At 33.9% G+C, this 27,411-nt stretch overlaps 2 protein-coding genes across 7 annotated transcripts in view; both read left to right on the top strand.

Moving 5' to 3' along the window:
- Window positions 1-1,927: 1,927 nt before the first annotated feature.
- The window catches only part of UGT2A1 (UDP glucuronosyltransferase family 2 member A1 complex locus), a 64,831-nt gene continuing 39,347 nt past the window's right edge, over window positions 1,928-27,411 (top strand). For 2 of the 5 annotated variants that reach the window (NM_001252274.3, NM_001389565.1), the window contains exons 1-3: window positions 1,928-1,987; window positions 7,477-8,245; window positions 15,647-16,276. In NM_001252274.3, coding sequence (NP_001239203.2) covers window positions 7,531-8,245; window positions 15,647-16,276 — 1,345 coding nt within the window. In that variant the 5' untranslated portion in view covers window positions 1,928-1,987; window positions 7,477-7,530. Of the gene's footprint in view, window positions 1,988-7,476; window positions 8,246-15,646; window positions 16,277-19,352; window positions 19,485-27,411 lie in introns of all 5 variants that reach the window. The other 3 variants (NM_001301239.2, NM_006798.5, NM_001252275.3) reach the window with 2 other exon arrangements.
- Window positions 15,533-27,411, top strand: part of UGT2A2 (UDP glucuronosyltransferase family 2 member A2) — a 51,226-nt gene continuing 39,347 nt past the window's right edge. For both annotated transcript variants that reach the window (NM_001301233.1, NM_001105677.2), the window contains exon 1: window positions 15,533-16,276. In NM_001301233.1, the coding sequence (NP_001288162.1) occupies window positions 15,535-16,276 (742 nt within the window). In that variant the 5' untranslated portion in view covers window positions 15,533-15,534. The remainder of the gene's footprint in view (window positions 16,277-27,411) is intronic.

The following is a 27,411-nucleotide window of genomic DNA, read 5'->3' as shown; positions in this document are numbered from 1 at the left end:
AAAATTGGTAGCAAATAAAATGATTGTTGGTTGAAGCTACTAAATTTGAAGTGACTTTTTTCACAGCAATACACAACTGATACACATAGGAAAAATAACTCAGAAATTAAAATGAAAAGAAAACATTTGACATGAATTTTTCAAAATGCTTTTTAAACATTGATAAAAATTATTATCATACATGGTATGAAATATGGTTGTTTTACAAAGAAGTTTATTGGTTAACCTTGAAGTTGATGATACTTTATTCAGTATTTCTCATTAATTATAAGTGGTGAAAATTGTTGTCATTGAATTGGGTAAAATGAGTCATTTCCAAGAAAAGCTTCACCAATTTAAAATATTTTCTTGTTATAGAGTTAGTCCCATGAAGCCTGTTAGTCTTCATGGGAGGGTGAGTAGAATAACAGTAATCTTTTACACCTAGAAATATATTGGAATCATAGGGAGTCTTCAGGCCTACTGTGTCCAGTGTTCATTATAAATTTTTCTTATTTCGAGTCTCTCTTTTGTCTAGTTGGGAATCATGCTGTTCAATATTTTCAGTTACTGGCTTTGCTCATTCTGTCCTAGATAGAAATTTAACCACCTGTAGCAAGTAAAAATCTTGGACAAGCAAAAAAACTTTTATATTACAGTTAATATATTTGATATAAATTTTACAGTACAGAGAACCAAACAGAAAAGAAGCTTTTTTAAAAAAAAATTAGTTATCAATTATTTGGCTTAAAAGGAATGTGTGTGTGTGTGTGTGTGTGTGTGTGTGTATTTGTGACTGGGATTATAAAAAGATAATAGAGTATGATCAAATAGATTTGAGTGAAAACTACAGGAATTAAAAATATTAATTAACACCCATGCTGTGTTCCAAGTGTGAAGGCAAAAGATATATTACTGCAAGTGTAAAGACTCAGAAAAGTTTCTATTTGAGGGCTCATGTTGAAATATTTGCATGAAGACTCATTTTATTTAGCTGAGAAGTTAATTACATTAGCTATTCAAAATGGAGAAATCATTGTATGAAACACACACATTACTTCTCTTTTATCAAGATTGAACTTGCACTCCATGAATTGATGAATATTTGTAGTCAGATGTATGCAATCCAAGCTGACTTGAACTTAAAGACTTGCTTGGGGCCTCCACTGTTCTTCTTTATTTCCTCTTCAATGTTATCATACAAAGTGTGTCTCTGCCGGACTATGCCATACTTATCAGCTGTATGAAATTTATTTCCACATTTCCATAAGTTTGCTTATCAGCAAAAACAACAAGTGGTGATGTTCTATCTCAGTACTTAGTTATTACTAAATATGACATATTTGGGATGCTATGCCAAAAAACATACTAAGTTATTTTTTGCTACTTCAAAATATTTGCACAAAGAAACAGCAGTAATTTTATTCCCCAAGGATGGTGCATAATGAAGGTGTGCAACTCTAAAAAAGTTATTTCATTATCTAAATTACTATCTTCTTTATTTATGGCAAAGATCAATCAAACCACCCACTTTCATCATCATGAATCAGGAAAATATATATATATAAATAAAAATAAAGACATTTTAATTTTTAAAACTTTTTTCATAATAATATAATAATTGTTTGTTTCATAAGTTTGAGGGATATTAATTGCTCATACTTATTCATAACAATCTCAAGATTACTAATTATTGTCAATCTTATTTTAGATATATCCTGGCATACTTGGTTAGTTGGGGTAGGGGCAGAGACCATGATAGTAAATGCAAAATTCAGGGCAAATAGTTGCTAGGGAACCAACAGAAGGTTACACCTTTGACAAAAGGTTAATCTGCTTCACAGTGTAGTGGGTGGAAAATGTTAAGTATAAACAACTTTACATAATCTTTTTTCCATTTAAGATCATATTACTCATTATATTATGCTTATCCACCTAGGATTTATTTACATTCGGCTTCTTCCTAATGTCAAATGAGTGCTGTTAAAGTTCCTCCAGGAAACTTCAGGTAAGAAACTAGAAAACTTCATGATAATCAATATAAAATGTATATTTTAATTTATTTTCCATTCTCTTCTTAAAGAAATATCAATCTTTAAAACGCTGGTTTACCTTTTGGTTTGTTTCATTGCTTACCCATGAAAGCATTATTAGTTCTACTTTATAATTTGATGGATTTTTCTCCCAGATTTTATACTTCAAAATAATTTTACAGATATCGAGGGAACTGTGTGGACAGAGCAGTAAGTTGAGAGTTTTGTCTAAGTGTGAACTCAAAGTCCTCTTTAGGGATTCTTCTCATGCCTTTTGTTCCTACCAGTGGAGAGTTGTTTGTTCCTTCATTAGATGACACATAAAGTGACAAATAAGAAACTTTATACTGATATATGGTGAAGACAAGAATAATGTACACAAGTGACCACTGTGGTCCTTAAGACAACACATGAATGAGAGGATGTGAGATGTCATCTTTAGTGGGTATTTTATTTTCTTAATATTGTTTAATGGATTTTTAAATATTTATTTTAAAATCTATTTACTTTAAATATAAGTCAAATGTTTTATGCTATAAATCAAATAAGTTTTATGCAAAATCAATTTTATTTATTAAAAAAAGAAAATAATGGCCAGGCGCGGTGGCTCACCCCTGTAATCCCAGCACTTTGGGAGGCCGAGGAGGGTGGATCACCTCTGGTCAGAAGTTCAAGACCAGGTGAAACCCCGTCTCTACTAAATATACAAAAATTAGACAGGTGTGGTGGTGGTCGCCTATAATCCCAGCTACTCGGGAGGCTGAGGCAGGAGAATAGCTTGAACCCGGGAAATGGAGGTTGCAGTGACCCGAGATTATGCCCTTGCACTCCAGCTTGGACAACAAGAGCAAAACTTGGTCTCAAAAAAAAAAAAAAAAAAGGACATAAAGTTTTTCTAAAGAAAATGCTGTTGTAAAAGCAATAACCAATTGTGTTAATGTGAATGCCATGCTAACTCCTTTTGTATGCAGTTGTTAACCAGTAGAAGGCATCTGAGTTATCAGTGGCGAATCCTTACAGGTCTGAAGCAACTTCAATTCTTGCCTCCTCAGAAGTAAGAATTTGACTGGGGGGCATCAGGCAGATGAGACTGACGGGAGTTTCAGAGCAGGAGCGGAAGTTTATTTTAAAGGCTTTAGAACAGGAAAGAAAGGAAAACGTACTTGGAAGAGACTCAAGTGGGCACCTGAAGTGCCCCGTTTAACCTCGATCCTAGGACTTTATAGGCTCGCCTCTTTTCCATGATTCTTCCCTTAGGGTGGGCTGCCCACATGTGCAGTGCCCTTCTTACCCTTGGGAAATGAGCATGCACAGTCTGTTTAGGAAGTTGTATATATGCTCATCTGAGGCTTTCTTCCCTTTTTTGGTAAAGTGTCCTTGGATGGTCACACTTCAACATTTTGTCTCTTAATGCACGTGCCCAGGCAGTCGCTCCTCTCTGGCATCTGCATTCAATTAACACTTTAATGTTAACAGCTGTGGATCATAAAGAGCTTGTCTCTCCCTGGCACTACTGGCTGCAAAATTCTCATTTTTAGAGAGGCAGTGTGATAATCATGGAACTGTCACCTGACATTCCTAATGCCTATCTAATTACCTGTAACACAATTAAGCAAAGTATATATTTTATTATCATTCTCTAAGATGAAAATATTTGAGTATGCTAGCTTCTTCTGAAATACGTTAGTTTTTTTCTCTGAATTCATGAGCTTTCACAAATATAGTAATCATATTACACAGTTTATTTTTATTTTTAATTTTATGTGCACATAGTATATATAGGTATATATTTATGACATATTTGTGATGTTTTGATACAGGCATACAATGTGTTTCTTTCAAAATTTTTCTGGCAAGGGCAGATTAGCTTTTCAGTGATTTTAAGATCAGAGTAATTACAAACACAAATTCAGACCCACATTTTAGGCCAAATCTTTTTACTTAACAACCTCTTTAAGCCTTTTGTTGTGAATATAACTTCATTTAGTTTTCTATTAAATTCGAAAATACAAATCAATCTAAAATTTAACCTCACTAGTGTGAGAAATTTTTTAATACTGATCATATTTCTGAGGTATTTATGCTGTATCAGCACATCACATGTATCACATGAATTTATGCGTCTATTATGTACTCCACAAAAATTAAAATAGAAAACATTTAAAAACACTAAAGTTCATTAGTGGCATAACAGCAATTGCCTTTTTGCGCACTGCTTGTCATGCACATCCAGGTAGCCTATACTTCAGCATGAATATCAAATATCATACCTTTCATGAAGACTTTCCTATCCTCCACCCTACCGTTAATCCCCCCAAAAAGCTGGAAGTAATCTCTACAGATCTCTGAAAACACTTTACCTATGTCATTTCATCTGAAGGCCCTTGTTAATTTCTCTAGGGAAGAGAAAGAGAAGGGATTACATGAAAAAGATAGTATATTTTTAAACGTCACTTTTACTCCAGGTAATATACTTGTTGCTTAATAAATACAATTGTATCTATTTAAATATATAGTTTTCTTATATGTGGTATGTATTATTACATAATAATTTATGGTATTTTTTGTATATTCATTTTTAATTTATTAACAGATATGTTGTTTATTTTATTTTATTACTTTATATTCTCAAACTCAAGTTGTTTTTAATTTTCATTTTATATATGAGAAAATTGAGTCTAATAAATATTAAGCAGCATAATGTGAAGCTAGGATTCTTTGGCCTAATTTATTCTAAAATCTAAATTATGTTTTTAATATCTTGCTGACTATAATGTACTACAGTGATTTTTGTCACAGATATGTATGTATTTTTCTTATCTTCCACTGATAGACTATAAAATTAATATGAGAAAGATCTCCTGGATTCCTCTTCTACCTAGTAGGTACTGCTGTGTGTGAATAGTAGGTACCCAATAAACACATAGTGAAGCAGCCCAGGGTCACTGGAGCAGTCTCCCTATCTGAGGTATTACTCAAGAGTTCTTTGTCTTAGGACCAAGAAAATTAATGAGCGTGGACATCAAAGGTGAGGTTGGAGTGAAAGTTTAATAAGTGAAAGGGGAAAGTTTTCCACAGCAGAGAGGGGGCCCAAGAGGATTGCCATTTCTCAGTTGAATACAAAGGCTTTTATAAACAAGCCAGTGGGGTGGGGTGTTTAATTTTCATATGGCACACAAAAAAAGATTTTTATTTGCAAAGGTGTGAATTTCTCACAACTCCACCCACTCCCTCTCATGCACATGCAGGCCCTTAACCTGAGTTACTCCTTATTACCCTGTTTCCTTACTGCGCATGTGTCAGGAGATGGACTTTTCCATTACAGACATGTCTGGTTCTGTGTAACTAATCTTATCTGTGCACCTCCAGGCATGTTGTAGGCAAGCCCCACTGTGTAAGTTATTTTATCTGATTATGTCCAAAAAAGGAAAGAAACATGCTCACTGAAGCCCACAGCATGTATATGTATATGTATATGTCTTTTGCTGGTTACAAAAGACAAGGGTGTTTTAGGGTCGACCTTGCCTGTTTATCTGTGCTTGAAGGTTGTGCAGCTTCAGGCTGCCCTTTTGTTAAAAAGAATTTTACCAACGGACCTTGTTCTAACTATCTGCCTAACTGGTTTCTTGCTTTCTCCTCTCTCAATAGCACCTGAATAAAATACTATATTTTAGTTGTCTAAAACTGGACCTGATTCCCTGCCAATAAATAAATAGAAGAAAATAACATCAGTGAATCATGACATCCTAGTGAATCATGACAATTATTTTAAAGTTTCTTGCCAAGTCACTATGAACCAGACTGACACCAGAAAGGCAAAAATTTTGTGCACACCATAACATCTTCTGCAGAGAAACTTCAATGGAAATACACTCAAGGAATTTTATGATTACTCTGTTAAACTTTGAACAGTACTTTATAAAAGTAATTGTTTTAATGAAACAGTTGATGTTTCCATACAGATTATCTTTGGTGATGGGAGAGCTTAGAAGAGACATTTTTATGATATTACTAAAAATATAGAATTTATAATTTCAGAAGATTTATTAACATGAAAAGGATCACTCTGCTTATTCACAGACATATGCATACAAACATAATATTTTCACAGAGATCGCTTTACTTGAATTACTTGATCCGATATTATCCAATGTGCGTTACACAATTTTGTATTGTGTTAGCATGCTTTTGGCAGGCTGCTATTCATATGGATTCCTTAGTTGGTAAGGGGACGTGATACATTTTGATGTGGCAATCTATCCCAGTGGTTAATACAATAGGCTGTGGGAGTCAGAGATCCTTAAGACTGCTACCAGCAGTTCCTATCTTTTATTTATTCTTATTTTTATAGATTTAGGGGTTCAAGTGCAGTTGTCCTGTTTGGGTACATTGTGTAGTGGTGAAATCTGAGGTTTTAGTATACCCATCACTCAAGTAGTGTACACTGTATTTCCATTGTACCCAATAAGTAATATTTTCTTATTTTGCTGTAGGAACATGGCAAATTATTCAATCTCTTTGGGCAGTGGTTTCTTTTTCTTTGATGTGGGAGTAATTATAAAAGATCCATAATTGGATAATTTTTAAAATAAGGAAGAAATGAAATTAACGTGTTAAAGAGTTTGCGTAATGTCTGACATAACAAGGACTTAATAAACGCTAGCAGTTGTTGAAGGCTGAATCTAGATGTCAAGTAGCTGTTTTTCATGCAGGCTAGATAGTTTTTGAACAGCACTTTTGGTAGATGTATGCTTGACTTAGTAATTCTCTTAAATAGCTCCTATTCACTACTAGCATTACCTATAATCTCTTGCACATATTTTATTTTATTCATTTATTTATAATATTTTCTTGAGGATTAACAAACTATTTTTGTAAACATATTACTAAAGTAGTAATATAATACTATATGTGTTATACATATTATTTATAAGTATTATTTGAATTTATAAATATTTGAATTTATAAATATTTATAGTAATATATTTATACATATTATTTGACAATCTTATATATTGTAACTGTTATTATAATGTTTAATTGTGATAAATGGAATTATATTCATGCATTAAAAATTTAAAAACTTACAGCATTAACATCTTTAAATTTCTGAATGAGTTTTGGTCCTATCTGAGGTTTCAATACCTAGGCCTGAATGTAGAGTTGAGATGTACAGAAGCTTTATCCAATTTAATAGTAAAAATGTAACAATTATGAAACACACAAAAAAGGGTTGGAGTATCAAGTTCAAAAGGAGGATTAGACAGCAGGAATCATAACTAAAACACTAAAATTAAAACAACAGATTTGAGAAGTAAGACACATTACCCATAAATCTGTAAATATCCTAAAATATGGAGCTACTATGACTAGTATCACTTTCTAGAAAGAAGGCTTTTAAGGATATTAATGGTTTGCCTCAAAATTGAGAAATAATTTTGTCTTTCCTTTTTTTCTTTAAAAGCAGAGAAAAACATTTGCTTCACATCTCATCAAATCTTCTGCATCAAGCCACATCATGTTAAACAACCTTCTGCTGTTCTCCCTTCAGATAAGTCTCATAGGAACCACTCTTGGTGGGAATGTTTTGATTTGGCCAATGGAAGGTAGTCATTGGCTAAATGTTAAGATAATTATAGATGAGCTCATTAAAAAGGAGCATAATGTGACTGTCCTAGTTGCCTCTGGTGCACTTTTCATCACACCAACCTCTAACCCATCTCTGACATTTGAAATATATAAGGTGCCCTTTGGCAAAGAAAGAATAGAAGGAGTAATTAAGGACTTCGTTTTGACATGGCTGGAAAATAGACCATCTCCTTCAACCATTTGGAGATTCTATCAGGAGATGGCCAAAGTAATCAAGGACTTCCACATGGTGTCTCAGGAGATCTGTGATGGCGTTCTTAAAAACCAACAGCTGATGGCAAAGCTAAAGAAAAGCAAGTTTGAAGTCCTGGTGTCTGATCCAGTATTTCCTTGTGGCGATATAGTAGCTTTAAAACTTGGAATTCCATTTATGTACTCCTTGAGGTTTTCTCCAGCCTCAACAGTGGAAAAGCACTGTGGGAAGGTACCATACCCTCCTTCCTATGTTCCTGCTGTTTTATCAGAACTCACCGACCAAATGTCTTTCACTGACAGAATAAGAAATTTCATCTCCTACCACCTACAGGACTACATGTTTGAAACTCTTTGGAAATCATGGGATTCATACTATAGTAAAGCTTTAGGTATGTAACAAATTTTGTTTTTATTACTTGAATTTGAACAAACAGACCTTTGTAGAGCCTCTTCTTTATTTCCCTATGTCTATTCTTTTTTAATTCCAAGTATTGATGTACTATATATTACTATCACTTGATAGCAGAAAAGAAGATAAAAGACATTGTACTTCAGAAGTACAGTGTGTTGTTTTCTAATTGCATGGACTTAAATATATCAATTCAGTTCTTTTATGGATAAAATATAGTGACAAATACTTCAATTTAAAAGTTGGGCTGGATCTCATGTAGATAATTATGCTCAAAATAGAAATTGCCTAGAAACTGCAGTGATGTGTGGAGAAAGCCGGAAAATGTTAAACTTTCCACAAGCTTATTATTAATACAGACATTAATATGCACGTTTAAGAACATACATATATGTGGATAATCTCTGATCATCACTTAATAAATATTAAGGCTCATAAAGAAACAAAATACATTAAGGCTTTATCACCTTTAATTGTAAGGTGTGAACTACAACCATTGATCAGGGTGATTTATCCATGCTAAGCTTATTTAATTTGCTTAAGTGTGATATGGTGTTTACCTGATGAATACAATATAATCAATGGTACTAGAATAAAAGCCTATATTGATCATGTTGATACATTTATACACATATTTGTCTAAAAATCAAACAGGCCTTGCCCATTTTTTATGCTTTTGAATTTTATCATTTATTCTTCATTAATTATAGATTTCTTACTCTTTACTAAGCACTCTTTTAGATAGGAAGACTAAAATAAAGTCCATGGATTCAAGGATTTCACAAACAGATAAATCAGACATTAAAAGGAATATTTATTATGTGAATTATGTAAATATGGAAATATATACAAAATACAAAATGTAGAGGAGTTAGGTATTATGCGACAGACAGAGTGAGTTATTCTGAAAAACTTCAGAGTTCAGATAATGCATAAGGATATTTTAAAATACTGAATGTGAGTTTTTCTGCAAGGTAAGAATGGGGAAGGAAAAGTGTGCTCAAAGTTGAAGACAAAACAGCACAGGTGCGATGGATATTTCTGATAATTTAGTATTTCTGAAGGTTCAAGTGTAAGGTAGGGAGACATGGAGGAAGATGCTAATGACGTCGGAACCGCAAGAATGAGTGAATTAATTCAATGAATATTTCAAAGTCTCCTGTATGTCATTCTAAAAACATTTTAATCTAATAAGCAATTCAGGACCATCTAAAGGGAAATATTATGACCTGATTTTCATTTTACGTAAAACACTTGGACAGATGTGGCAGTAGAGTTGAGAGGTGTGAGACTAGACTAATGTATCACTCTAGGAAAGATGTGGTAGGAGCCTGCCCTACAGAAGTAGCTGATAAATGGAGGAAAATAATGCAGTATGAGACTACCTAGCAACACAATTGGGAGAGCAGGTGCTTACAGGCAACATCCACATAGCAGTCTGTGGCTGGGAAAAGTAATTCAGTCTCCTTGCACCTGAACTTCATTTATCTCATCTCTGACAGGGCTACTAAAAGGACTAAATTAGTTTACATCTGAAAGGATTTTAGAATAGTGTGGCCCAATCAACCCTGATAGCGAATATGGGAGAGTAAAAATTAATATTGCATTGAATTTTGGACATGCTGTGTATGTGATACTTTTGGGAATATTTGGCGAAATCCAGTAAGCAGCTGGATATACGGGATGAGATCTCAGAGGTAATCTCATGGGTTATTAACATTGACACATTAATTTGTGTGCATTCGTTACTGATAACAAAGTAATAATGCACAGACTGCAGAGACTGTAATGTTTGCTAAGCAGAGCTTGTAAGGCCTAGAGATGTTTACTAGCTAATGAATGAACATCCTAAATGCTATTAAAAATAATTTAAAGATGACGAAGTGCACTGTGTAAAACAGTGGGTTGCGTGAATGTTGGCAAAAGAAAAAGTGAGATTTCTGTGTAGTGATACCTACTGACACATTAGCTTCTTTTCTACAGATCTCTGTTCTAAAACAACTGTAAAGTTGATATGTATCAATCAAAATAAATATGCATAGGTTAGTATGTGAATGAGGATGTGAGATACTACAGCCATGTGAATGATTATTATCAAAAGCTGGTAAACCAATTATAATTAGCACTGATAGCAAAAGTCATCACCTCCTCTGGGTATGTTAAGTAATTGGCCCAAAATTCAAAAACAGATCTTTAAATCTTGGGATGTAAAAGAAGAGCTAGCTATTCTGTCATTCAGAGAATACAAGCCTTGCTACAATGATTATAGATAAACCTTCAAGTGTCCTATAAAGATAAAAGTGAATGGGAAACATCTTATGGTTGAAACTAGATCTTAAAAGAAAGCAGAGAAAAAAAATTGAAGTTTTGTGAAGCAATGAAACTGTCAAGATGGCAAAATCTCCTTCATATCCTCAGGTGTATGGTAAACTAAAAGGGACTCTGAATATGTGCAGCATCTCCGTTCATATAAGAGCGGAATGTACATAGACCGTCTCTTGGTCACAATTTGTATTTACATTTTCAATCCTACCACTTCAGTTTTGTCAACTGCTCATCATCAACCTTGGAATTCTAATTTTCATGATTACTATGCTCTTTATTTGTGAAGTTATCCACTAGTTTACTTTACCTAGGCTGGCAGTCTCAGAATCACATGTTCCATTTTATTTTGCCTGTAAGTTAATGCTGGTAATAAAAGCACACTATTCTTTCAGTCTTAAGACATGAGGCTAATCTTTCTTAACAATTTGTTCAGAGGAACATAATAAAGATTTCTAAAGATGTTCTTATCCTCTGATTTTGATATATCATGTTTCTGATCAAATTACCCTCTTCTGACTTAGAATGACTACTTAAGTTTGTCTTTATTAAAACACAATATTCTTACTGATGCCAGGAACATGAACAGTCATATTTAAAAGACCAGGTAAGAAGTAAAGTATTGACATGACAGAGTGACTTATTTTTGTGCAAGTCTTTGTGGATGTAGAATGATAAAGGAGAATGATAAATGGAACTGACTTGTAAAAATAACTCCTTTCCAATTTGTAATTTGAATTGATCTTCTATATTTACTTAAAATTCTTTAATGAAATCATTGCAACAAATTTATATCCACTCAGGCCTCGAACAGCCTCACCTGAGTAAATAAATAGAACAACTCCCTAAGTTTACTTCTCTGCAGTGGAATGCAATAAGAAGGTCAGAGTGAGTCCTTAATCTCTGCTAATTGGTAGAAATTGGGTATTTATAATGTAAAATTACTCATTTTATTTCAGATCATGGGCATTTAGCTCAAACTCATGGATATCATAATAATGATAGCAGTATATATTAATATCTTCCTATGCACTAGCCACTGTGATAAGTGATTTACATATATTTTCTATCAATCCTTGAACTGTTGCAGTTCATTGCAAGAAAAAAGTTGTAACACAGAAAAGAATATTGAGACTTGGAAATATCAAACATGTTAAAATTATGAGAAAATAGTATTCAAATGAAAATCTTTCTCATATCAAAGCTTTGATGTCATATTTCCTTGTTCTAGGAATTGTTTTTCCTTCTTTTTAAATTTCAGGTGCAAATCTATTAACTGTTCAGAATATTTTAGGTTAAATTTTTCTTGAACGCTTTTCTTCTTTTCAATGTGTTTAGCTTTTAAAATCTGCTATTCTATTTCTTGCCTATTTTTGATTTGTCAAATGAATATAATTGGGCCATTGTATCACCAGATAATTTACTATCCATTAAGGAGTAGGTCATCATGTGATTCTGTTGTCTGGGGAGGATTGTCTAGGGATATATTTTTGGCATTAGGAGAGCTTTCTAAGTCACCTCTAACTGAAAGGAAGTAAAGGGTTCCACAGTTTCGAATGTATACCTTCAAAAAATTTTTGAATTTTTATGCATTTCAAAAAATGGAACCAGGTATTTCATTTTTACTTTTATTTAAAAAAAAACACCAAAACTGGGCACATTTAAGGGGAGAAAAATGTAACATTTTTATCATTAAAAATACTTATAATCCATAAGCATTACATATTGTTACCAACAGCACTTTACCCTTTAACCACTGTAAAAACAAGGTTTTTTTGTGAATAATCTCTATATATTAGAGGTATATAATATGTAAAAATACATAACATTATATATGAATAATTAGGTGAATAATCTCTAAGATGAATGCCATCTATAATAACATACTTTAGCAAGTCTAGTAAATAAGAAATCTAGATTTTCAAAAAGAATGATCATAATATCTAGATCTTTGCATGAACTGTGGGCTCACTAAGCATGAGTAATTAATGTAAAATAAAGTGCTAGAAATGAAACACATTCAAGTGTATATCCTTCCATGATTCTTGATTTTCAGTAGTAATTTTAAAGAAGAAAAAATGCACTGGAATCTTTTCCTGTAGAATAATACATTACTACTTAGGTCTTCCTTTTTTTCTTTTTCTCTTTCTTACTAATCATTCCTTTGCTTTCCTCTCTCCTTCCTTCCTTCTTCTTTTTCTGTTTTAATTTACATTGATCTTGATTGGTTAGAATCTTTGAAAAATCTTCTAGTATCATTCCCTTTTCTGCAATGAGCCATAAGCTGAATGACAGCCACCGGCATTACATTGGAGATGTAATTGACATTGGGACATTGGAAATTCTCAGAGATAGTGATCACTCTATCTTTTTCGCTCCCACTCATGAGAGAGTATCAGAACAAAAGGAAATGGAAGTTACAATTTGTGTGGATATAATCTTGAGTTTTATATGCATATATTTCTTAAAATAAATAATTTGTAAATTTTGGTACTCTGTGCATTGTTAATAGCCTATCACTTGTGGTCTGCCTAAAGACTGAGAGTGACTGCCTTATGGGGAGACTCTCAGTGTTTGAGAAATTCTGCACCAAACCCTAGATTCCCCAGTCTGTCAGTGTAGGAGGAGGGAAAGAGTAGAGAAGGGTCAAGGTAATGAGATCGGATTAATTTGATCATTTAAAAAATAAGATTCTCTCCCTAAAATATCATAGCTAGCTATTACTTATGGAGCCCAGGTGCTGTTCTGAATCATTTACCTGCATTATGTCACACCATACCCAGAACTATAGGAAATAGGTGCCATTGTTCTCATCATTTGTTAAATGAGGAGGCTAAGTAACTTGCCTAGTTACAATTCAGAAAGTGGTGAATCATTTAATATCAGACTCCACTCTGAGGTAAAAAGCAAAGTGCTAGAATATACTGTTTCTGTTTAGCAAAACAAAGAAAAACTAAAAGTACATCTAAATTTAAGCTTTTAGAGAATTAGGTAAATACAAATCAAGAAACTCAAATAAAACTGAATCACTCATCCCCAAAACAGTATGAAAGCTGGTTTCCAGGCTTTTTTTGGCCTTGGGGAGACAATGAAAAAAGAGCCAGCAGAGTTGAATCCTAGCCATCAGGTGCAATATTCAGGGAGCACTTCGGAAGAGAAGACTTTCAGGCAAGGGCATGTCTTCAGTGGAAAAGAAAATCTTTCATACCAAAATGTTGCTATGAGGATTATCAATTCAGACTAATAGGATTGTATACATTTTACTAAACAAAATGTTGTTTTAAGGATAATCAACTCAAATTAAAAGCGTTATATACATTTTATTGTTCTTCACTAAATTAGGTAAATATTTTATTGCCCTGCAGATATTACGTAAAAGTGGAAGTTGACTAATATCATCATTTTTTCCCTTACTCTGGGTAATTTAGGGATATCTATATGTATTGAGATTTTGGAGCATATTTTGATAAGCTTTTATGTGCTATTGCAGCTACATTTGTGAGTAATCCCTAATTAATTATTATATTTTTCTTACATGTAACTCAATATTTGAACAAATCTAAGTATTTTATAGATAGACTTTTGTTCATGTTTTCTATAATGTTTTGCTTTCTTTACTTTTTATTGAAAGTTTGACAGCAACAGATTTCTTTATGAAGATTTTTAAACCCCTTTTACTGGGCTTATTTTGAAGACCATTAAGATTATTTACACTCTTCTCTGGCTGCCTTGTTTCAAAAATCTAATTAATTTTTAAGGTACTGCCACTATATTCAAATTGAGGCTTATTCTTGAGAGGACACAAATGCAAAAATTCTAAAACCATCACTTCTCTCTCTTGTCTTTCCTGTTCTCTGTCCTCCCAGTTCTTTTGTTACTCAAGGGCCTGAAATTACATAATTTAAGGGCAATTGAGTATAAACTTAAAATCTGTCACTTATTTTCTAATCTTAATTTTTGATTTTTATCCTTTTAATCACTCTATTTGTTCTTATTTCTCTTTTTAATGGTAGCCTGTAATGATTTCAAAACAGCATTGTTACATAATTGCTATTGCTCAGTTTGGGATTCACTAAGAATTGCAACACTATATCCATATCTGATCTCACTATATCCAAGTCTAGCCAGTCATTCTGTAGCTGGCCTACTGATTTCCTAATCAATCTTTGGACAAATTTATTAAACCGCTAACATTACTACGCTCTTACTCTGTACCAAGAAGATTGAAAAGTAGCTTTACAGATACTATTGTTAATCCACAAAGTAATATAACAAATTAATGTCTCACCTCTCATTTTTCTTTGAGAAAACTGAGAATGGGAGGGTCTGAATAATTACCCGGTGTCAGAAATCTTATAAAAGGACAATATTTGAATCTGGGTCTATTGAACTCCAGTGTCTACCTAACTTCTCTGAATAACAAAGTCTGTGATTCTTTGGAGTTCCAGGCCATATCTTCTTGATCTGTGTCATATGGAAGAAACTGAAAAATTCCCTGTAACAAAGGCATAGGAGACAACAATCAGTTGGCTTTATGGAGAAGAAAGCTATTCTATATCAAATGCATAGTATTTTACCCTATAATCCATATAATCTAAAACACCTTGAAATGTTTGAGCAAACTTCCTCTGAAAGTTGTTTATTCAATTTAGTGAAAAATATATTAAAGATGTATTTTATAAATCATAGTTATTATCACAGAATATGTAGATGGTAGGTTTATAACCCCGTGCTTCCTTTTCTTTAAAAAGAACCAGATTTTATTTCTGTTACTGAAATAATGATGTTAGTGCATATAGGAATTTGAATTATATTATTTACCTTTTAATCTAAAGATCAATTGACCTACGACTGAGTGTAACCATCGCACTAAATATTACTTTATTTAAAAATTGACCTAAATATACTTTGAAGATTTTTTTTTCATCTTGAAGGATCTACAGTAGGATGGTTTCCATAAGGGATTTTACCATGCCTAAGAAGTTTGTCCAGATGCTGGTTTTTAATTTGACTCTGACTGAAGTTGTTCTAAGTGGGAATGTGTTAATTTGGCCTACAGATGGTAGCCATTGGTTAAATATTAAGATTATTCTAGAAGAGTTGATTCAAAGAAATCACAATGTGACTGTACTGGCTTCATCAGCAACTCTATTCATCAACTCCAATCCCGATTCTCCTGTGAATTTTGAAGTGATACCTGTTTCCTACAAGAAGAGCAATATAGATTCCTTAATTGAGCATATGATAATGCTGTGGATTGACCATAGACCAACTCCTCTCACAATATGGGCTTTCTACAAAGAACTAGGAAAACTTCTAGACACTTTCTTTCAAATTAACATACAACTCTGTGATGGTGTACTAAAGAACCCAAAGTTGATGGCAAGACTTCAGAAAGGTGGTTTTGATGTGTTGGTAGCAGACCCAGTAACAATCTGTGGTGATCTTGTTGCTCTGAAATTAGGAATTCCATTTATGTACACATTGAGGTTCTCTCCAGCATCAACAGTGGAGAGACACTGTGGGAAAATCCCAGCACCAGTCTCCTATGTACCGGCAGCCTTATCAGAGCTCACTGACCAGATGACCTTTGGTGAAAGGATTAAAAATACCATATCTTATTCTCTGCAAGACTATATATTTCAGTCCTACTGGGGAGAATGGAATTCATACTATAGCAAAATTTTAGGTAAGTCTAAAATTTTCTCTTTTTAATGACTCCACATCCCTTATTTATTCTTATTGTCATATGGCAAACGATTTCCATTCCACTGCATATGCTGAGCTGAAGATAATGGACTTCTTATATCTCTGTACAAACAATTCCCTGATTATTCTCTTTGAATAAATCCTTAACAATGAAATGGTGGTATTAATATGTATGCTATTGTCTCTTAATGCAAACAACTTTGTGTCCATTTAGGTAATAGCTTTTCAATGTATAAATCAATTTCAAAATATAAATGAAAGTGCCCATATTAGGATACATTATAACACTACTGAAAAATACCCTGGCAAATATTTTCGAGGTGATACATGATTTACCATGCCTCCTTTGTCCTTCATTATTTTCTTTGTCTGCAGAAAGCTTTGAAAAGCATAGAATCAGGCAATAGAAAACTGGAGTTTACACTCTACCCTGGTTCTCACTGTCTCTCTATCTTTACACATCTCTGGGTAGTTGGACACCATCTCTCAAATTAATTTCTCTCTATCCTGTGGCCAGCCTCATGTTTCCTTGCATGAAACATTCCTTATGAGAATCAAACACAATAATGTTAACCATCAAGGCCAGTCCTGATTGGTTGTTTATATTACTTATTTTTCCTGGCTTTTATGAGCCTCCCTTTATATTTTTATTTCCTTCTCTCTTGATGATTTTGCCTCCAGATCTCTTAGTACTCGGGACACTAATCAATAGCAGGAATTAACAGATGATGCTACCACTGGTACTTTCTCACAGAGGTAATGTGAAAGACTTTTTTACATACCTTTTGACTTTCTTTCCTTTCTCCCTCACTCCCCTTGGTCGTTCCTTTTTTCCTTCCTTTTTTTCCTTCCTTCTTTCCTTCCTTCCTTCCTTCCTTCCTGCCTGCCTTCCTTCTTGCCTTCCTTTTTTCCTTCCTTTTTTTCCTTCCTTCTTTCCTTCCTTCCTTCCTGCCTGCCTGCCTGCCTGCCTTCCTTCTTGCCTTCCTTCCTTTTTTACTTTTCTTCCTTCATTCTCTCTTGTTTACTTTGTGTAAAAAAAAGTATTTGTTGAATGCCAACCTAGTTCCTACAACTTGTCTAAGTGGTAGGAATACAACAATAAGCAAAACAGATCAAATTCTCTATCTCATGGAACTTACATTCTCATGAGAGGAGACAACCAATAAATAAAATAAATATATAAATTTAGCCTGTGATATATGCTATGTAATAATAAAGTAAGAAGAACAGATAGTTCTTAGAGTGAGTTTGCATATTTAAATAGAGCAGGCAGAGAAAGTATCAAATGAAAGAATGACATCAGGCCAAAGACCTGAGGGAAGTGAAAGTCAGAATCCATAAGATCCCTGGAGGAAAAGCCTTTTAGGAGTAGGTAAGAACAAGTACAAAGACCTGTGGCAAGCCATACACATAAACTAACTTGAATACTCATAAACTAACTTGATCTTACTCTTACCTTTCACAAGGGGTATTTGAATATATCTTTTTTCTTCTCTTGATATTGCAAAACTCTTGCAATAATTTTTTTTATCAAAAAGTTTTCAACTTTTTCTTAGAATTTGTCTAGAGGAAAGATATTAAATATACCACATATAAAACATATGCAAGGTAAATAAAATTTGAGTTTATTTTTGAAGATGCTATAACTAAAATTTTACAAGTATAGTTCTGTATTTTTAAAATTCCTTTAAGGCATAATTTAACCGTAGTTTCTTTTTTTCTGGCTTTCAAATTTTATATGCCTTCAAACCACATTTTTCTTTTAATTTGGGTATAATTCACATGAGTATGTCTCAAGACATTTGAAATGTGTTCTACAATAATTGTAACTACCCAGCTATGTATTGGATAGTGATTATTGCAGCTACTGAATGAGTTAACAATCTATACACCTTAAATAAGAGACATACAAAAAGTAACAAGGTGAAGGGTCCTGAAAAATGCATGTGGCTTCAGGTTCCACTGGCTAACTGGGATCTCAGACAAGTAACTGAAACTTTAGAGTCACAGTGCTTTCTCTTCTTTAAAATAGGGTTAAAAATTTCACTATATTCGTTAGGAGGATCATATGATATCATATGTGGCTATTCCATGTCAACTATAAAGAATTATACTTATATTAAATGTTATTTACACCAAACTACTTAGGAAATCTGCAATGATAAAACCCTTTTTATATTACCACAGGGCTCTGTAAATGGAAAGTAGCCAAAAAAATCTACAAAAAATAAATGGTTTCTGGTATGTACTAAACCTTCCTTCTCAAAGGAAGCCATAACAAATTAGATAAGTGTGAAAAAGGCTTTGTAAAACAGCAAGTTCTCAACTTCTCACCTTTACAAAATAATAATCTAGGTTCAGAAATTCTATCATTTAAGAAATTAAATATCCTATTTACTTAAAACCTTTATGCTTCTCATGTTACTGAACATAATTTGAACAACAAATAACTGCCTTGAATATTTTATTTCAAATTAAGGTATACTGTGAAGAACTGGTAAAACCCCATTTTGTATTTTGTTTGCCATCACAAACAAAAGGATTAAGAACACCTGCTAACTGTAAACTGATATTGAAAGAGGGCAGATACACAATTTTACGTAATTATGTTTGACCGCAGGAGAGCTAACAACATGTCAAATTTTTGTGGCGTTTCCATTACAATAGTTGTTCTTCAGTTCTGTGTAGGAAAAACAGACTTGAGAAATGATATGTTAAATTGTGACAAAGAAGAACTCCAAATGTCTTGAAGGACATCAGAATAAGTACAAGGACATATTTGATTGCACCAGTTAAAAAACTTGTTTTCTATATCAGTGAGGAACTCTTAAATCTTACAGATGAAATGAGTAAAACAATTAACATTTTAAAAATACCTTTAATAGCTAAGGGAACAGGGATATCAGGAATTATGAAAATCACTGCTACTCATATCCAGAAGTGAATCTATTAATAAATTTTGGTCAGGCCAAGTGTTCTGCATGGCACCATCAAATTTAACTGAACCTTATTTCTCTCTCTCTCTCTCTTTTTTTTTTTTTTTTTTTTTTGGTGAGGTGGACTCTTACTCTGTTGCCCAGGCTGGAGTGCAGTGGCGGATCTTGGCTCACTGCAACCTCTGCTTCCCGGGTTCAAGCGATTCTCCCGCCTCAGCCTCCATTGTAGTTGGGATTACAGGCTGCCAGCAGGTCAGGCTAATTTTTGTATTTTTAATAGAGACGAGGTTTCACCATGTTGGCGAGGCTGGTCTCAAGTTCCTGACCTCAAGTTATCCACCCGCCTTGGCCTCACAAATTGCTGGGATTACAGGCTTGAGCCACATCACCCAGCCTCTGAACTTTATTTCTTCCTCAACTTCTAAGAGATCTGCTGTACAGCAAATAGATAGTTCTCACTGTAGAATTTGAGACTAGCCTTTGCTGCAGCAATAGAAAGGTTAAGCCCTTGAACACTGTAGTGAAAATGGTTAGACAGGTAAGGCCACTGGAAACTGGATGGCTCCATTTTGCATGTGTCTTTTGGGTTTCCAGTCTGTCTCTATCCATCCCAGCGCACTGTAGATCGGGAGAGCAGAAAGCCCAGTAATAAGCTATGTGACACTTGGCTGGTAAAATTTAGTTTTAACTGTCAGTACCATGTTGGGCCCTCTTTCCCTGCTGATATATTTTATTTATTCATTTTTATTTTTTGACATTTAATATTTAATTTAAATCTGAACTTTAATCCTTACTCCTCTTTTTAAATTTATTTTTATTTTTATTTTTAAACTTTCTTGTGGGTACATAGTAGTATATATTTAGGGGGTAGATAGGATGTTTTGATACAGACATGCAATGTAAAATAAGCACATCCTGGAGTACGGGGTATCCATCCCCTCAAGCATTTCCTGCTGATAAATTTTAGATGGATTCTTAGAACTAATGTTACCTTATCCCAGCCCATGAAGAAAACAAATCTCTTAACAGTTAATGAGACACTCCAGCACAATATAAGATAAAAATGAGGGTAATGGGCATTTTGTCTCATTCTAGATGTCAGTGGAAAATCATGCATTGTTTACCATTAAGGGTGATGTTTGCTGTAGGCTAATTTTAGATATCTCTTATTAGATTGAGGAATCTCCCTTTTTCTTTTTAATTCAAATAAATTTTCATCATAAAAGGATGATGAATTTTATCAAATGTTTTTCTGCATCTATTCAAATTATTATATTATTCTTCTCTTTGTTCCGCCAATATGGTAAAATATATAAAGTGATTATCAGTTGTTAAATCAACTTTTTATTTTTGGAATAAACCCCAATTAACTTAAGAAAAAAACAGCCTCTTAACCTTCCCCCTCTATCCAACTTGTCTGCAACTAAACTAGATTAATCACAATAATGTATTATTTGTATTTCAACTATAGTTTCTTTTCTGGGCCCAGTGTTGTATTTATTGCTTCTCTCCGTTTCCTATCCCCACTCTAATTCTCATACCCTGCTTCCCACCCTTTCCCTGGAAAACTTGGAGTTTCTGTTAATCTTTCGTCACCTAAGCCTTCCAATTCCTTCTTATATGTAGCTTTCCTGTGATCAGTGTTGTGGGTTTTTGTTGTTGTTGTTGTTTTGTTTTGTTTTGTTTTGTTTGATTTTTGAGATGGAGTCTCGCTCTGTCGCTCAGGCTGGAGTGCAGTGGCGCGATCTCGGCTCACTGCAAGCTCCGCCTCCCGGGTTCACGCCATTCTCCTGCCTCAGCCTCCGGAGTAGCTGGGACTACAGGCGCCGGTCACCAAGCCCGGCTAATTTTTTGTATTTTTAGTAGAGACGGGGTTTCACCATGTTAGCCAGGATGGTCTCGATCTCCTGAGCTCCTGATCCGCCCGCCTCGGCCTCCCAAAGTGCTGAGATTACAGGCGTGAGCCACCGCGCGCGGCCGGGTTTTTAAAATTTTGTATATTCTTTCTGCAAAACATAAATCCTAAACTTTATAGCTCATTGAAGTTTCACGAAGTAACCCCACCCTTGCAACCAGCACTCAAATTAATAAACAAAACATGAATGCAATCCATAACTCCTCTTTCATCCGCTTATCAGTCCCCACAACTCCTATTTAATGGTAAACACTTTCTTGGCTTCTGAAACCATGGATCAATTTTCCTTGACTTTAAACGTTATATAGTTGAATCACACATTATGTACTCCTTTGTATCTTGCTTATTTTGATTAATATTATGTTTTTGAAATTCGTACAAGTTGTTGCATGTAGATATGCTGTGCTCATTCTTATAGCTATATGGAGTCTATTGAATTAATGTATCACATTTTATTTATCCATTCTACTGCTGATGGAAATTTAGGCTATTTTGGTTTTGCCACCTTATGATGAACACTGCTTTGAACATTCTTGTACCTAATATTGGTGAATACATGTATGCCATACTGTTGGATATATTCGTGAGAGTGGAATTGACAGGTCATAGATATCATTAAAATTTAGTTTCCCAAAAGGTTGTGCAAACTAGTAAACCTACTAGCCATATACTAGGGTTCCAGCTCTTCTCCATTGTCATCAACACTTGGTATTGTTCTTTTTGGTATTTATTTTCATTGTAACCATTCTGTTGATCTCTATTGTTTTTATTAAGGTATAATTTTTATGTGATAAAAAGTGCATAAAGTGTACAGTATGATTTCTTTCATCAAATGTGTATGTGTGTAACTAACACATCAATCATTCTCTGGGATTCCTCTCTAACAAGGCCACTACCCAGACCTTTTCAGATACTTAGGCTGAGTAACTCCTACCTCTTACTTCTCATTCTTCATTCTTACTCACTTTTAGTTTTCTTTGGTGGACTTTTTACTACATCCTCTTATCATTTCAACTTTAACATCATGATTAAATTGTCACCCACGTCCGGTTTGTAAGCCATCAAGAATCTCTAGTGCATAACGTATTCCTTGATTAAAAATAAAAGTTGTCTTAAATGTAGTTACTTTTTTTTTTTTTTTTGACCGAGTCTTGCACTGTCGCTCAGGCTGGATTGCAATGGCGCAATCTCGGCTCACTGCAACCCCCGCCTCCTGGGTTCAAGCGATTTTCCTGCCTCTGCGTCCAGAGTAGCTGGGATTACAGGAGCCCTTCACCATGTCTGGCTAATTTTTGTATTTTTAATAGAGACAGGGTTTCATTCTGTTGGCCAGGCAGGTCTCAAACTCTTGACTTTGTGATCTGCCCGCCTCTGCCTCCCAAAGTGCTGGGATTACAGGCCTGAGTCATTGTGCCTGGCCAGTTACTTCTTTATAAAAATATATTCACTAAGGATGATTTCCATATTTACTATTGTCGTGCATAAGAAGTTTGCCACCCTCCTGTTTTTAGTTGGTCATAAATAGAAATTATCCTCCGTGAGATTATGCTCTTTTGGCCTAAATGATGAAGCCATTGGATGTTTCAAAGAAATCATAACGTGGGTGTACTGGCATCATCAGCAACTCAACTTCAATTCTGAAAGGTGCTGTGTGTAAACTAAAAAAGAATTTCCCTACTTGTGGAAAAAAAATTTACCTTATCTTTAATGCAGACCCCTTATTAACCCCAAAACCTAGTCCTTTTGAGCTTTGTAACATTACATGTTATGCCTTCCCTCTTCCTTCATGGTAGCAAATCAAATTATTTTGTAATTTCTGTTATATTTATATCAAAACACCTTGAACCTTTTAAAAATTGCTGTGAATGTAATTATCTTTGAATTCATAGACAATTTTGTTATTGAAAATAAACACATAGGAATAGATCTTTCATTTTCGTGAATCTCTTTCAAAAATAAAGTTAATATACATCACATAAGTGAACAATTTTAGGAATAAAGAAAAACTAATAACTATAATGTGGTATTTATTGGATTTATACAAACTGTGGTGCTTATATTGTCATTTTAATGATATTATTTTGGAATCCATGTTTCTAGATATTTTCTGTCTTTTCTTGACAAAAGTGCCAACTAAAAGTAGTGTGAAGTGGTAGCCTTGTGTTAGAATAGAAATTGAATTCAACCAATCTTTGTTTTTAGCTCAATTGTGATTTCATTAAAGTTGGTATCCCAGCATCAGTGGAGCCTAGTAATATGTCCGTAGTCTTCAAATTCCCAAAATACCCTGATGTAGTGGCTACAGTTGTTCTCTTTTTCAGGTTGTCAGCTGGGATAATTAGTGGACACACCCAGAAATGCCCATGTACACACTCCTCTCCTTGCTTGGCAGGTTTAGATACACAAATATCTGACTACATTGAAGTTATGGCTTCTCATCTCAAATAGTATTCTTCATTCTGTTATATTTTTGTATATTCTGTTATATACCTTGGAAAGATAACTAAACTATTTCTCATTATTGGTGGTTAGGCAGTAAATCTGTTGACAGCCTACTTTCTTGTGCTATAATCTTCAGTTTAGTTTTAAAATTTATGATGATGTAACTCTCCACTGAAGCATTTTTCTAAACATTTGGATTATTATTACTAATTTTCACAATATATTTACAAAATATTATCATTTTAATTTTATGATAAAATAAAAACATAAAAATTAAGTAACTCTCTCTTTGACAAACATCATTTTGAAAAAATATGGGAAGATAGATCTATTTACCTCCAAAGCCCACTTAACTAATTTCACTAAAACAGTATAGGTATCTTTGTGATTCTAGGATTCACTCAAGCCCTAGCTCTCTGCTTTTCTAAAGAAAAGACGTTAATAGGAAGTCAAAAATAAAGCATTTGATATTGAGATAGCTATCACTGATTCTCTTTTTCAAATGAGAAAGTAGTGTTATAGTTTAAGAAAGAGAACAATAGAAAGCTTATGTCGATGATTTCATATCTAGAGAGCTGGGACATCCTATCACAGAGATCACATTCAAGTTATTAATAACATTTAAGTAGTATTGTTAACTCTGCCACTTAGTCGTGTATTCTTTAGCACACACCACAGTGTAATTCTTACATGTATGTATATATATAATATATGTATAATTGATATATAGTATATTTGTGTGTTGTGTGTATGTGGGTGTGCTGGAGACTTGGTAAATCAGGAATTCCTCCAGCGGTAGAATTGCATTCACGGTTTCACCTTTAGGGTCTGTATACCAGTTCGCTAACATAATAAAACATATATAATTTTTATACATCCTTGGCATCTTGGCTATAATAAATGGTTTTTATTTTGTGACCAGTTTGTTGAAAGTACATGTCTCATTTTAACTTGCATTCCTCTGGGGTTTTCTTAGAGGCCTATTTTATAATTCCCTGTTTATGACCCTTTTCTACTTGGAGGAGTATTGATATTCACAGTGATTTGTAGTAGCTTAGAGTACAATGTGTAAATATCATTGAATCTGCAAAATTCAAATGAAGGTGGTTAAAAGGAGAGGGAATAGTGATGGTTGATAAAAACTATGGCTTGTGGTGCTGGGGAAATGACAAAGGTAGCTTTAACATAGTCAGGATAAGAGTGTAACCGGGAAGAGGTGGGAATGGGGAGTTATAAAGAGTAAAGACGCTGCATGGCACATCTGGGAAGAAGGAAATGGCTTAAAGACCCTGTTGCATATGGCCTCACTCCAACTACGTCAAAAATTGCAGGAGAAAAAAATGAATCGTAGCCAACTGCAGATGGAGCTATTACTATTGGTATATCCTCATTAAATCAAAGAGAAAGACAAATGTCTACAAGAATGGAAACTTAGAGCCCTGATCCATATGGCTGTATTTTAGTTATATATTTTAATATAATCTTTTAATATAATCTTAATTACACTATAATGGTGTAATTTAAAGTCACGTTTAAATATGAGAAATAAATTCCAGTAAATTATTTTTCATGTGGTATTTTGGAATTTTAAGTATACTTGTACATTCAAGATTAAGGAAAAAATATTTTACAAAGAAATTTCTATTGCAATGATAATATACATTTTGTTTTACCAAAATATTCATAACTTCTTACTGATTATTCTTATGGATCTACTCTGAGACTCGATGATTCACTAGAAAGACTCACAGGACTCAGAAGCTGCTAGGCTCATGGTTATGGTTCATTATAACAAAATAATACAGATTACAGATTAAAATAAGGAGAGAGAAAAGACCTATGAAGGGTAGCCCAGAAAAGATCAGTTGCAAGCTTGCAGGGGTCCTCTTCCAGTAGAGTTGTACAGGATTTATTTAATATTCCTAGAAATGATATGTGGTGACGGGATGCAGTTTTATCAACTAACTCACCTGAACCTTGATGTCTTGGGTTATTGCTAAGGCTCAATCACATAGATGTCTAGAGCCTGTTTGACTAACCTCAGCTACCCAGACTCCAGACCCTCAGAGCAAAAACTGGTGATCATGGTAAATCACATTGATAACATAAACTATCTAGTCAAACTAATGTGGACCAAGACCTCAGATATACAAAAACACTCTTATTAGGCACTGTATTCCAAAAGATTGGAACTCAGCTCTTAGGAGCCAGGTATGAGCCCCTCTTGAATATAAGAACATGAGTCTTTTTTGGGAATGTACAAGTTGAGAAATCCAGACCTGCAAAGTAAACACTTTGCAGTACACCTCCTGAATGAACGCTATTCATAGTGCTAGGAAGCTACTTTTATTGACTGTATTACCTGGCTCCCTTTCTACCTGGAGGAGTATTAATATTCCCATCATTTGTAGTAGCTCAGAGTAGCATGTGTGAATATCACTGAATCTGCAAAATTCAAGTGAAGGTGGTTAAAAGGAGAGGGAATAGCAATGTTTGAAAAAAGCTATGGCTTGTGGTACTGGGGAAATGACAAAGGTAGCTTTAACATAGTTCAGGAGAAGAGTATAACCATGTATCACCTGATATCACCTGGCTCCCTTTCTCTTTGGTATCAATTTGGGTTCAACAATGAATCCCCTTTGAGACTAATAGCTGAGGGAAATTGAAAGATTATCTCTCTCAGTGTAGACTATAACTTAATAGTGGCTGTAGATTCCTTTGAATTTCAATATAGACCATAATAGTATGTAAAAGTTGTGGCGGTCTTTTTTCTTTTTTTCAGTTTTTAGGCATTTCACGTATTTTATTTTGTAAGCTGAAACTTTACATTTAGTATTAAGTAGAAGTAGGCATTCTAGATCATTCATATATTTGCTTTTAAAGAAAATGCTTTTATTTTTTTCTCCCATTTAAGCTTATGTTAAATATATAACCATTGTATTAATTCAAAAAAGTTCTGTTTTCTAAGTTTTAAGAATTTTTTTCATCAAATTTGAAGAGTGATGGCTTCAGATAAGGCTCCAATTTCCTTCTTTTGCTTGTGGATATTTAGTGTTTCTGGCATCATTTATTGAAGAGACTACTCTTTGTTCATCGTATATTCTTGATATCTTGTTGAAAGACCAGCTGACCATATATGGGTAGGTTTCTTTCTAGACTCTCCATTTTGTTCCCTTGGTCTATACGTGTGCTTTAATACTGTTTGGATTCTTGTCACTTTGTAGTGTATTTTGAAACTAGGGAGTGTGATGTCTGCAGCTTTTCTCTTCTTGCACAAAGTTGCTTTGAATATTTGTTTTTTTGTGGCTCCATATAAATTTTGGTTTTGTTTTTTCTATTTCTTTAAAAAAATGCCAGTGGGATTTTAATATGGATTCATTGAATCTGGATTGTTTTGGGTAACATGGACATTTTGATGCCCTGAGACAAATTAAATATTCAACCTAAGACCTAAAACCACAAAAACCCTGGAAGAAAGCATAGGGAAATGCTTCTTGACATTGACCTTGGCAATAATTTCTTGGATATAACACCAAAAGCAAAAACAGACAAGTGAGATTATATCAACCTAAAATAGCTTCTGGCCAGCAAAAGAGACAATCAACAAACTTAAAAGGCAATCTGTGGAATGGAAGTGAATATTCGTAAGACATATATATGATAAAGGGTCAGTATGCAAAAATTAATAATATTTTAGTATTTTTTATCTCCATTCTCTTTTAACCTGTAATATTGTCTATGACATTTATAAATTTTCTATTTATCCCTCCTTCCATCTTGAGTTAATTTCAATGTGATATTAATATTTTATATTTTCTTGTT

Source organism: Homo sapiens, chromosome 4 (assembly GCF_000001405.40).
Source record: "Homo sapiens chromosome 4, GRCh38.p14 Primary Assembly".
NCBI classification, from domain to species: Eukaryota; Metazoa; Chordata; class Mammalia; order Primates; family Hominidae; genus Homo; species Homo sapiens.
This window is presented reverse-complemented; position numbering and strand designations above follow the sequence as displayed.